The sequence below is a fragment of the Homo sapiens genome, chromosome 4 (genome assembly GCF_000001405.40).
Source record: "Homo sapiens chromosome 4, GRCh38.p14 Primary Assembly".
In the NCBI taxonomy this organism is placed as follows: Eukaryota; Metazoa; Chordata; class Mammalia; order Primates; family Hominidae; genus Homo; species Homo sapiens.
The window spans coordinates 75,478,305-75,491,989 of NC_000004.12; the positions used below are offsets into that span (position 1 = coordinate 75,478,305).

Here is a 13,685-nt window from a genome sequence, read left to right on the forward strand (position 1 = left end):
ATACATAAGGTACTGAAGCCACTAATAAGAAAATGAACTCAATTAAAACATGGGCAAAGGATGTAAACAGATATTCCTAAAAAAGACACAAATGGCCAACAAATATATGAAAAGATGCTCATCATCACTAATCAGAAAAATGCAAATTAACACAAGGTATCACCTTACACCTGTTAGAATTACTATTATCAAAATGATAAAAGTGTTGACAGGGTGTAGAAAAAAGGGAACACTTGTGCACTGACGTTGGGAATGTAAATTAAAACAGCCAATATTAAAATCAGCATGGAGACAGAAAACTAAAAATAGAATTACCATATGATCCAGCAATCCCACTTCTGGACATATAGCTAAAGGAACTGAAGTCAGTGTGTCAAAGAGGTATCTGTACCACCACGTTCACTGCAGCATTATTCACAACAGCTAAGATATGGAAGCAATCTTAATGTCCATCATCATATGAATGAAAACAAAATGTGGCATATATACTCAATGGAATACTATTCAGCCCTATAAAAGAAAGAAATCCTGTCACTTGTGACAGGAACCTGGAAGACATTATACTAAATGAAATAACCCAGGCACAAAAAGGTAAATACTATGTGATCTCAGCTATCTGTGCAATCTAAAAAAAAGGTGAATTCATAGAAGTAGAATGGTGGTTACCAGAGGCTGGGAGAGAGAAGTGGATGGGAAAAGGGGAGATGCTGATCAAAGGGTACAAAATATCAGTTAGACAAGAGGAATAAACTTTACTGATCTATTACACAGAATGGTGAGTATAATAAATAATGCATTGTACATTTCAAAAATATTAAGAGTAGATTTTAAGTGGTTTTTTTACCACAAAAAATGGTATGAGGCAATAAATTTATTACATTGATTTAATCATTCTACACTGTAAACATATATCAAAACATCACATTGTACTCCATATATATAATATACACAATTATCAATTAAATTTTAATAACACAAAGGACAAAAGAAAAAGTGGCATAGTTTTGAACAACTCCCATTTAAAATTAATTCATTTCAAATTAAACTATTCAACTAGTGAATACCTATTGCCAGGCACTTATAAAATAATGTTGGCTCTTTAGTACTTAGTAAATTTATTTTGATGCATGACCAAAATAAAAGGGAAATTTAACATGTATATCATATGAAAATAGGTTTTAGTGAAGAAATAAAAACTGAGTTTGATTTTAAAATCCATGACACTATAAACAAACTACTACTTCCAACATAAGCTAAAGTTAATTCATAAAGAGTTCTATGTACTGGTTAAGAAGACCCCAGAAACTAAGAAATGAACAACTTGATATACACTCATTTTTTTTTTATACATACATCTTTAATGATAAAAGAAGCTGAGATGCTATGCACCAAAAAATTCGTAAGGGTATTGTTATTTTACTTTTTTCAAAAATAATCCAAATAAACTATAGATACAAATTCTGCGGCAGGGCAACCTAACTTATTTCAGGGACAGATAATTCTAGTGTACTTAAGATCTGTCTAAGTATTTAACATTCCTGTAAGCATTATAAAAAAGAATAGGAAAAGAATGAAGTTGTCTGTTAAAATGTTAACAGTAGTTCTCTCTGAAAGAAGGGATTGTTGAGAGTTTTTTACCTTCTTTCTTATAGAGGTATAACCTATACTTATGAAGTCAGAGAAAGAAAAAATATTTAAGGGTAAAGTTATGTATTTTAAGTTTTGCATACTGAATGGTAAGGGATGTAGATTTTATTCTTATTGTGAATGAGAAGTGTTGAAGGATTTTAATCATCGAGTTGACGTGTCATGAACAAATACTTGAAGCAACCCTGGGTACCGAAGCCTAGAGACTTTGAGTACATTTGAAAATTGCTTTAAGTGCATGACTAGACAGCATAAACGAGTGATTGCATATGTACTCTGCATTATTTTGGACATGTTTGGATCCTAAGTTAAAGAAACAATCAGATTGTGAAATAAGACTTTCTAACTAGAGTCACCTAAAAAAATGAAAGGTTAATCTATCAAATCATGAGCGCTTCAATGATATGGATGACTAGCTGTGAGGGGTATTTTAGCAAAATAGAAGTTTAGATCAAAAGCAATGTGGTAAAAGTGGGTTTGGAGTCAAACTTGGATCTGATTCCCAACTCCAACATATAGTGTCTGTTATTTACCCCCAATGTGTCATTTTAACCTCTAAACCTCAGCTTTCTTGTCTATGAGGACAACACTTACCCCACAGAATCATTGTAGTAATTAATGCTAATGCATGACCCAGCACAGATGTTGAAAACAGAAGAGCCTTATTATTATATACTCACTCCTATTTAAAGATCCAATGATTCAATGATTAAAAACAATAACATGATTGGTTTGGCAGAATAATACCAAACATAAAAAGTAATACATCTGGACCAAGCACAGTGGCTCATGCCTGTAATCCTAGCCCTTGGAAGGCCGAGGTAGGAGAAATGCTTGAGCCCAGGAGTTCAAGACCAGCCTGGACTTTGTTTCTACAAAACAATTAAAAATTAGCTGGGCATGGTGGCACACACCTGTAGTCCCAGCTACTCAGGAGGCTGAGGTGGAAGGATCAGTTCAGCCCAGGAAGTCAAGGCTGCAGTGAGCTACGATCACTTCACTACACTCTAGCCTAAATGACAGAGCAAAACCACTTCAAAAAAAAGTATTAGATCTGGAAAACTAGTCTTTACTTATCTGTATACTAATTGGTAATACCCAGGAACATCCTTTCCCAAATGAAGATCAGCACTGCTGCTCTGGCCAGGCCAAGGAAACAGATGAAGGGAAAGAACATAAGAAGAGTGGAATACAGAAGACAAGAAGGTGGGATAAAATAAAGATCTGAGTCCCAAACTGCTGCCTTTATCTAGGTGAATAAATTTCAACAAAAGAAGAAATAAATGTGCCAGAACTCTTAGGCTTTCTAGTTAAAAGGCTAACTTCCTTATTCAAAGAAGATTCAAATAGCTCAAAGTTGGAAATACAACTGGTGCTCAATAGGTACTTATCAACTGATAAATGTACATTTTACATCCTAGCCTAATGGTAAAGCTATTACGGAGATAACAGTGTCAAAGTCGGCTGGATCATCAAACATATTTGTTAACTTTGTTCCTGAAGTAAGAGGTATATTTAATTCCACTACATGAGCCCAAAAAAGTATTATGAAATCAGAGATCTTGCCAGGAATATCCCATGCCCTTCCCACTCATCCATCCCCTATTTTCACACGCTTAGGGAAGAAATATTCTATTCATTTACAATAAGACATCCACTCCTTGCATAAAGAAAAATGAGTACATTGATCAAATATGATGAACAATAGAATGTACTGCTGTGAGGACAAGGACTTTTATCTTTATTGTTCACTGTTGTCTCTACAGCATCTAGAAACATATCTGCCACATAGCAGTTGCTCAATAAATACTTGCTAAATGAAGGAATGAATGACTCTTTGAAGAAATAATTTTGGGCAACCTAAAAAAAACTGTTTTCAATGTTGATGTTTTTATTAAGGCTTTGGAAGAGTCTTATTATTTTACATAATAATTTTCCCAACTACTTTTATGGAATACCTCAAAAGAAAGAAAATTTCTTTTACATTATAGAACTGATGATACTGCCCTAATTGAGCCAAACATAGAAAACTTTGGAAAAAACTTTCTATAAAACAGTTTCAATATAATTTTATTAGCAGTTATTACATCAAAATTCACATTTAGAGGATCCAGAGGACTGTCTTAGAAAATTCTAAAGCATATTTAATTAGGTTTTAACAGTAAGGGAGAACTTAATATAACACAGCCCTTAAAAAGTCAAGACTACTACTGAAAATTAAGTGCAGTTCTATCAAGAACTAGAAATGAACTGCACGCGTAGTGTCACTTAAAGCAAAGCTTCATGAAAATATAATACACTTCTATGAATGTATCAGTGGCAAACATCATTGGCTTCCAAAAAACTGACACTAAAGGAATTTCCAATCAAAACACAAGCACAGTGGCTTTCATTCAATATAGAGCTATGATAAGTCTATCAAGAGACCCTGAATCCTTACGTACTTGTAATATGATTTTATGCTGTGACACTAGTACAAAACACATCAACTCTAATGCATAGATGACGACACATGATAACACGATACCAAGGAAAGCCTTTTTCTATATCAGAAAATGCCAAGTTCTCCAGTACTGTGTAGGCTCGTCATTGCTGATCCAGTGAAATTCTACGTCCTCCAGCTTGAGCAGTATTATAGGATTCACAAATCTTACATTTCATGCCTAATATATGAAACTGAACAGTGGATCGTCCATTACAGTCATTGCAGAGAATCTGAAAAGAGATTAATTCAAATTAAGTATTTTAAACCTTATAAATACAAGTAGCATTGTCTACTCATAATCCCTTGAAAATCATATTAAAGATGTGAAAATACATACATAAGTCTAAAAATTTCCAAAAGTAGAAATTTCTTCTTATTTTTTCACTGAAAACTCTAAAAAGCTATTAAGGTGGCTCTGAATTCAGAAAATGAAAAGGCAGATTTGAGCAAAAAAAAAGCTTATTTTAAAATAGTTTCCAAATATTAAATAGTATAAATAGTACAAGCAAGAAAATTAACCTAGGCATAATCAGATGAATACCTGATACTTATAATTCAAAATAACAACATGATTTCATTATTTTTCAGTCAGAAATGTATCTCAATTAATAAAACCAAAATTTTTACACAAATAATATTTTTGCTTATTTTTTAGGTTTAGTATACTGTTCCCTGTCTTCTCTGCCTTAGGAATGAATTAAATTCCAAAAAGAGTGTTCCTAAAATTGAGTAAACAGAGAGGCTCTTCGCTCATCCCTACAATAACAATAAGATGCCGTTTAAGAATTAATTTCTTCTAGTGCTAAGTAAGAACCTGAAAAATAACAAAGGTGTTAACCTGAAAATCAATACATTACTATGCAAGAAAAGCACTAGTTTTTGAATAGTCACACTATAATAAGCAGAAAATTTCCAAATTTGCTCTAAATTATAATTTGGAAAATAATTATTTAAAAAATATGATCTAAATGGAGAAAGTGGATTAGTGGTTGCCTAGGCCTGGGGCGTTAGGGAATGACTGCTAATGGGTATGAGTGTTTCCTTTTTGGGATGATAAAAATGTTCTAAAATTGTGGTGATGTTTGCATAACTACATGAATATTTTAAAAAGCACCAAATTGTACAATTTAAATGAATGAACTATATAATATGTGAATTGTATCTTAATGAAGCCATTATTTCCAAAAATTATCTACATGGAACATAGCACACTTCGGCCTCTAGTCAATCACATGATTATCGGTTAGTATTCCAAAAGTGATTTTTCATTGCCCTAACAATTATCCACATGAATTATGAAACACTCCAGTGTAAATAAAACAAAAAATAATTTTCATTTGGCTTTGCTACGTGGTTTTTATCCTCGTATGCTGAAGTATCTGAAGATGTTCAGAAAATGTGTAATATAACCAAAAATTATCTAGCCAGAATACTAGGCTTTCCCATTCTAATCTAAAACTCAATACCATGTATGGCTGAGAAGAGACAGCAACACATCTTAATTAAACGAAAAAAGATGATCACTCTCCATAAGCCAAAAGGCACAGAAACAACCTTTTATGCTTTAGGTTGCAAGCTAATTGCAACCAAATAAAGAAAGTCAAGACCCTCTGAATCTATTCTGGTTCAGGGCTGCCTGATTCACAAACTGTTTCTCAATTAAGTTCTGTTAAATTTAATTTGTGTAAGGTTTTGCTTCAAACAGCTGGCATCAGAAGTGGGATTTGAAGTACAGCTTTCAGTGACCGCCAGGAGCACCAAGGGGACCCAGTAAGGTACCGTTAGGCCCTTTGTGTCCACTGCTCTCTTGCAGCCATTAGGAATCATGGTAAGTTCTCAGATTCTAAAGCTCTGCGCATTTGTGTTTTGAGCTATCCAAGTTTTTTTGAACACATTTTCTATCTGAACTGAATTCAGAAGTCGCAACAAAAACTGGACTGGGTCCAGGATCCAACTGCCTTGGATCTAGCTAAAGACCTCTTATGCCTGACTGGGTCGGGCAGAAGCACAGTAAATGGCAAAACAGCAGGGGGTGGGGGTGCAAATTTTGGCTTTTGGAAATTCACAGGGTTTTTTGTGTCCTGCCCTCTTCAATTCTTCTTCTTGCACATTTAAGTAGAGAAAAATCACTGGTTAAGTTTACCAAGGAAATATGAGAGCCAAAGCCAAGATTCAAGGTGAAAATGGGATCCTTAATTTCTGAAGAACTGAGCAATCTACCTTCTGGCTCTGCCTACATTTACAAGTGTAAGTATTAGGCCCCAGAAGCAGCACTTTTTAAACATTTTATAGAAGGATAAAATGCCATTTGCTTATAGAAATGGCAAAACCTTACTAAAAGTAATTTAAAATTATAATGGAACGTCCCAAATGAACACTTAAAACTACACTTTAAGAAGTGCATTTGATGATGGCCATAAGCTGTTAAAAACCAAACCAAAAAAAAAAGTGCATTTGAAAATGAGGGCTCCCAAATTAGACTCATCTAAGAATGCCTATTGAGTGAAGCTTCTAAAAATATTTCAATATTTTTATTGCCTTAAAAAAAAGATGTTTTAAAAGGCAAATAAAAAGCTTAACTAACTGATAAGACAAATTAAATCTACTAGCCTTTTGGCTTAGTTACTATACTGCCCTGAAGGCTAAAAGAAAGCTAGCCTGGATTAAATGTTTATAAAATATAGGCCCTTAGGTAAAGCTGACTTGCCTCTTTTTCAGATCTATCCATACTGTGCCCAGGCATGGACATGGACACTAAGATACTTCTGTTTAATTTCTGAGTAAACTGCAAACAATAAAAAAGAACGCTGTCTTTCCCCTACTGTCTTAGTGGGCTCCACCCTGAACTCAGTAATTTTAGCTAAGAAACAGTAGTTAAATTTTTAAAAACGATCTATGGAACTAAAGTATACCTTTCTGGCATTCAACTGGCTATACTGAAGGCTATCCTGAAACCCTTTTGGTAAAATCAATTTATATCTATAAAGGAAATTTACATTTGTAAAGGTGTCTGTGTACATTAGGAACTCTTATCACTATTTTAAATTTATATAGTAAGTCATACCTTTGTTTAAGGTGACTGGCCATCTTGTCTTAACTTTTACTCACACCATTTTTTCCTTGGTTTGAGCAAATGATGGTACAATATTTACGTCTAAAGTCTTAGCTGTGTGCTTTTGAGATATACATTTTCTACCTTGTTTGACCTAAGAATTGGCCCTTTAGAAATGCATATTTAGGGCTGCCTAGCTAACAATTGCTTAGGGCAATGAAACAGGTTAATTGGTAAACTGATAGTCTGAATGGTGAATAGAAAAACTATTTAAAAGCCAGCAAATGAGAATCCTTTAGGAAAGCTCTAAGATCTGCTTCTGTCTGTGTCTGTATTCCTATAGGTGTTATGTGTATGTGATAACATTTGGTAAATAAAGCCAGTTTTTATATTGTTAGTAAATAGGAATGGCTTCAGAGGTGTCTGTTGAATATAATTCAACACTTGCTTGATTTGACTGTGAGCTTGTTTTGGGTTTTGAACCTCTAGATTCTCAAGTCTGGCTAGGTGAGACCTGGGTACATGTTCTCAGTGCCTAGACCTGTAGCTACAAAGCAGAATCAAGCCCACTAGAGCTTCTTCTTCCCTGTCTTAGCTTTGCCTCCTGGCTATTCTAGGAGGGGTTCCATCCTCCAAGCATCATCTTTACAGCTCTGTCTTCTGTTCAAAGCTCTGTAAGTGGTACGTAAATTCAGGACTCAGACAGGCTCTGCCCTTCATAGCCCTCCTGGTTGACATATGACTACTTGAGACTCAAGATGACTGAGAAAACATTCGGGAGGGTACATCTGTGTCCTAATTTCAAATTTTTTTTCAGTAATTTAAAATCTTATAGTCATATGTTTAAGTAAATAATCATAAAACTTTTAAGTCATTTATAAGTTAAAATGCTAAAACATTAATTATAAGTTTAAGTTTATATACTTTGGCATCTTATTTTTATATAGTATAGAAAAACTAAATATATTTAGATATCTTAATAAATAATAATTTAAGGAAACATCCTTCCAAAAAATTAAAATGGCTTCCATCTATAAATACTGATACAAAACAGTTCAAAATTACTTCCTAGGGTTTTCACTGGAAATTAGGATTACTAAGAGTTAAAACTGTAGTTAATATATGTAATTAAAACTACTAGATGTAAGAAAAACAATTCCCTATAAGGAGTGTAAAAACAAGCAAGATATACTTTTGGTAAGACAAGTTGCAAAGGCATGTATTTAAAAAAATTCAGCTTCAGGAGGCCAAGGAGGCCAAGGCGGGTAGATCACAAGGTCAGGAGTTTGAGACCAGCCTGGCCAATACAGTGAAACCCCGTCTCTACTAAAAGTACAAAAATTAGCCAGGCGTAGTGGTGTGCGCTTGTAGTCCCAGCTACTCGGGAGGCTGAGGCAGAAGAATTGCTTAAACCCTGGAGGCAGAGGTTGCAGTGAGCCAAGATTGCTCCACTGTACTCCAGCCTGGGTGACAGAGAAAGACTCCGTCTAAAAAAAAAATTTTGGTCTAGTTTGAAGTTACTTAACGGTTGTTTCAAATTGAAGGAATAAAAAAGTGTAGATTAAAATACAGAACGTTCAAAAGAAAGAATTTTAAAAGTTTATAAGGGAATATAAAAGATTTATGGAAATCTTACGTGGTAAAAAACTGACAGATTGGATGGATTTGTTTACAAGGTTTTATTAAAATTCGCTTTAGTCCTAACAATACAAAAGTAAAATCTGGTTTTCTCTCTTGAACAAAGATTTCATGTAGTATTAATAAGACAGTTAAATATTTTTGTTTACTTTTGGGTAAATTTCAAACAATAAAAAGAGGAGACAAGGGGAAACAGATTTTGTCTCACGCTGTCTCAGGACTTTTAATTGTTTAGAAAACTGAGTTTCGAAGAGTAAAGGTTTTTGCTTTTTAAAACCTGTTAATTCTCATATTGGCTATATAAATGACTATATATAAATATATATATAGTCATATATATATTCACAATATATATAGTCATATATATTCATAATATATATATTCATAATATATATATTCATAATATATTCATAATATATATATTCATAATATATTCATAATATATATATTCATATATATATTCATAATATATATTCATATATATTCATAATATATATATTCATAATATATATATTCATATATATTCATAATATATATATTCATATATATTCATAATATATATATTCATATATATATTCATAATATATATTCATATATATATTCATAATATATATTCATATATATATTCATAATATATATATTCATATATATATTCATAATATATATATTCATATATATATTCATAATATATATTCATAATATATATATTCATAATATATATTCATAATATATATATTCATAATATATATTCATAATATATATATTCATATATATATTCATATATATAAATGTGATCCTATTTTGGTCAAGTATTTTAAATCTTCGACACACTTGACAAGCTTCCCAAAATCAAATTTCAACTTCAAAATTAAGTCTTTTTTTTTTACCTCTAACTTTGGCATGCTACAAAGGGCCCCTGCGGTATTCAAAAGAGAAAAAAATGATTATTTGATCTGTTAAATTACATAGGAAGCACTGTCAAATAAGAAATGATATTTAACCTTTGTGTTATATTTTTATTAAGATTTATTCCAAAATTATATGAGATTCTAAAATTCTTTATGTCGGGGTATATGCTATCAGTCTTAATTATGGTTACTGTGTTATTGCAGGCCACAGAAATAACCAAATTTCCTTGTCAATCATGTCTTTAACTATAACCATTTTAAGTTGTTTCCACAGTTAACTGCTTAATTCTGATGCAGTTTCTCTGAAAACTAGACAAGCAAGCAAAATCCTACAGTACTGTGTCTTCAAGGAGGTTCATGAAAGGATGAAAAGGACCCTGACAAACTCTCTTAAATATAGACTTCTGACAACTTTAGGACTTGGACTGGATAACAATTCCTAGAACTCTAATGGAGAGACTGACTGGTTTATAAAACTGCCAACCCAAGCAGGATAAAAATTGATTGAATACCAAGAAAATACTTTGCCAGATTTTCACACTAAAGCAGCCAGTACTGAAATTGTTTAGATTTCAATCAATTCCACAATCCAAGTCAAATTACCTATAATAACCCTTCAGTTATCAGTGGTAGGCACCTAACCTGGTATTTAAGAGGACACAAATCCAATGTTAAGCATGGACTCATGGAGAACCTGGACAGCCACCTGGCCCTTCCTAAATCCTTAAAGCTTCCATTATTAAAAGTTCTGCATTCCAGCCAGGCAAGGTGGCTCATCACTCCTATAATCCCAGCACTTTGGGAGACCGAGGCGGGTGGATCACGAGGTCAGGAGTTCAAGACCAGCCTGGCCAACATGGCGAAACACCGACTCTACTAAAAATACAAAAATTAGCCAGGTGTGGTGGCGGGCACCTGTAATCCCAGCTACTTGGGAGGCTGAGGCAGGAGAATCGCTTGAACCCTGGAGGCAGAGGTTGCAGTGAGCCGAGATTGTGCCACTGCACTCCAGGCTGCACAACAAGAGCAAGACTCTGTCTAAAACAAACAAAAAAAAAAAGTCTGCATTCCATGGCTCATCATGGAAAAGATAAAATATTCCAAATTTTACATGTATATATAAAATTTATATATATTGCTAAATTGCTAAAATAATTTATGACCAATGTTTGCTTTGTCGAAACCATAATCCTGGGAAGACAATCAAAACTTCACGTACATTTCTGCTACCTGATGGGCCATTTAAGTATTTATAGAAGGATTACATTCAATTGTCATTTTGAATGCATGTTTTCTGGTTGTATAGAAGGTATCCCATGCAAGAGGGTTAACTCTATTACAGTACCTAAAAGGTTATTATAAAATGTGTTTCTCTCATGGGACATTCCTAGAGAAATCTCCAGTGACACAGGTACTTATTTCACTGGATAAGTTGTAAAATAGTTAAATAAGATACTACAGATACAATAGCATTAGGCAAAACTAACTGAATTGACTGGATTGCCTTGGTCAAAGATATTGCAGATTGATGGTAATCAGATCCCCTTGGAGTGGAAAACGTAAGTTGACCCCTTACGAAATAATCACTGGAAGGCCTGTATACCTAATAATAAATAGAATCTCATGTATCTTCCACTACCAAACTCTGATATGACTAAATGCCGCAAGGCTTTTATGCATTATGCCAAAGTGTATTTTCACCAAGTAAAGAAAATTTTGATGGTCCAATGACTAAGAACAATCAAACCCTTCACAATCTAGAATCTGGAGACTGGGTCTCTGAGAACAACATCAGAGAAAGACTGCCTTTTCCACCTACACTAAAGCTTCTGGACTTTGAACTTAGGTTCATTATCTCACATTTCAGAAGGGACCCTCCACACTCTTGGAAGTGGACACCCATGAGAGACCTTAAGACAAAGTTAACCAGGAAAGTTTCTCCCCAGAAGCAAGCAGCATTTTAGTGTGGACAGTTTTTTCCCAAGATCATGAATCAAGACTTCTCTGTAATTATGACTCTTATCTCTCAATTTGTTCCTTGCTTATGATTCTGTGAACAACAGAAGTGAAAAAGGGGTCTCCTGTGTGCACTCCATAAAAATAAGTCTAAGATGGAATAAAAAGGGTAATAAACACTAAAAACCAAAACGTAATCTCAAAAATCAGCAAATATGTTCTCCTGAAATAAAATGTAAAATAATTAAAAATAAAATGTACTTAAAAAGTCCCACCAGTGATCCAACCCTAGTCAGTTATATTACTGACTGACTCTGGCAAGTAATATGTAAACAATTCAGAATGAAGTTTTTGCCTGCCATCTAGTGTTGGGAAAAACTACATAAAGGTATTCTTAAGACTTTTTTTTTCCCGATCTGAGCTACTTAACTAAAATTTAAAAATCATTTTGTGCTTTCCATTAATCATCACATTAGCATCTGTGTCAAACCAGTATATATATATTTTTTTTTTGGCAAATTCAAGCAGGAGGGCAAAAATAAGAGTGCCAACAAGGAGTCTACAAAGTTTTAAGTATTGATTCTACTCACATCCACAGTCATGTTCTGATATTCTGATGGCATAGGAGTCTGTGCTACTTCATCATCCAGCTGTCTCCAATACCTGGTCATATCTAAAGCAGAGTGCATACATAATGGACATCTGTAGCCTCTGAAAGAGATAGAAAGGTTATTTTCCAAATATTAAACAAGAATATATTAATTCAGGTATACAAGAAGATGCAGGCTAACTGCCACATGAACCATTCAAAACAGGCATTTTCCTCCATTTCAAGATAATCTCTTAGGAACCTGGGAACTTTCACACTATAAAACTTTTAAATTAATTCCTGTATACTTATTTAAAACTAAGTCTTTTTCCTCAGTACTCTAAAATGGAGAGGAATTAGTCCATATTCTTTGTAGAATACACTTCATATATTTTTATAAACTAATTAAGCTACTCCTTATCTAAACAACCTTAATTTCTTAATACACTCATGTAAAGAGACTGTATTTGTTTAAAATTATTCAGATATTATTTCCTTTCTAAAAATTTGAAAAAAAGAATGCTCTCTCTAGCTCTTCACATTTTTGCTCATCAATATGTAGGACCAAAATACAGTCTTCTCTTTTCAATTATTTTCATCTAATTTTAATATCTTTTCCATTAATAAAGTCTTAGCTTTAATGATCACTTCACCTACTTTCTTTTAGTTTACTATACTTGGCCAATATAACAACCTAACAAATTTTTGGCAATATTTTTCAGCATTTTTACAACACTATAACTGCATCTGGCAAAAACTGCACTTCCTGGTATATATGGCCAGAAAAAAAAGAGGTAACTACCTCAAATTGTGGGAGGAGACAAGATTTAAGAGAAACATATGGCAAAAGTGTAGTTCTATATCCAAGACACTTTGTCCTGTTTTAACAATATTCATCTACCCTACCCATTTCAATATAAATATTGCCATGCCCAATATAGTATAAGTAACAATGTTTGTCCACCTCCCCACACCACACACACAAAAAAGTCAAACATCTTACAATTATTTTTAAAATCCCAAACACTCACTCTTTCAACATTTCTTCATAACACGTTCTGAAAGAAAATATAAGATTATTTTAGTAAAACAAAAACTGTCTCCACTATTTTCAAACATCATTGAGAAAAAGATGTTACTTTACCTATGTAAAAGATGTCCACATGGCAAGACATGAGCAACAACACGGGATGTGTGAATGTCCTGTAAATGAAATAAATGTTAGTGCTTGTATGAAGACAATATAAACATCCAAGTATTTTAAATTCAAGAGCTGAGACTTCCAAAGTAAAAAATATTTTAAGCCTACCTCCAAACATATTGGACAATTCTGTCGGGACACATTTTCAATACACTGTTTAAAAGAGAAATTCACATTAACAAAAGCTTAACTAGATTAAAATGTCAGGT

At 33.3% G+C, this 13,685-nt stretch overlaps 1 protein-coding gene across 15 annotated transcripts in view; it reads right to left on the reverse strand.

Annotated features, from left to right (window-relative positions):
- The window catches only part of RCHY1 (ring finger and CHY zinc finger domain containing 1), a 35,683-nt gene continuing 22,726 nt past the window's right edge, over positions 729-13,685 (reverse strand). For 7 of the 15 annotated variants that reach the window (NM_001387136.1, XM_047450036.1, NM_001278538.2 and 4 more), the window contains 5 exons: positions 13,585-13,629; positions 13,420-13,478; positions 13,307-13,333; positions 12,277-12,397; positions 729-4,362 (listed from right to left, as the gene is read on the reverse strand). In NM_001387136.1, coding sequence (NP_001374065.1) covers positions 4,234-4,362; positions 12,277-12,397; positions 13,307-13,333; positions 13,420-13,478; positions 13,585-13,629 — 381 coding nt within the window. In that variant the 3' untranslated portion in view covers positions 729-4,233. Of the gene's footprint in view, positions 4,363-12,276; positions 12,398-13,278; positions 13,334-13,419; positions 13,479-13,584; positions 13,630-13,685 lie in introns of all 15 variants that reach the window. The other 8 variants (XM_024453984.2, NM_001278537.2, NM_001009922.3 and 5 more) reach the window with 5 other exon arrangements.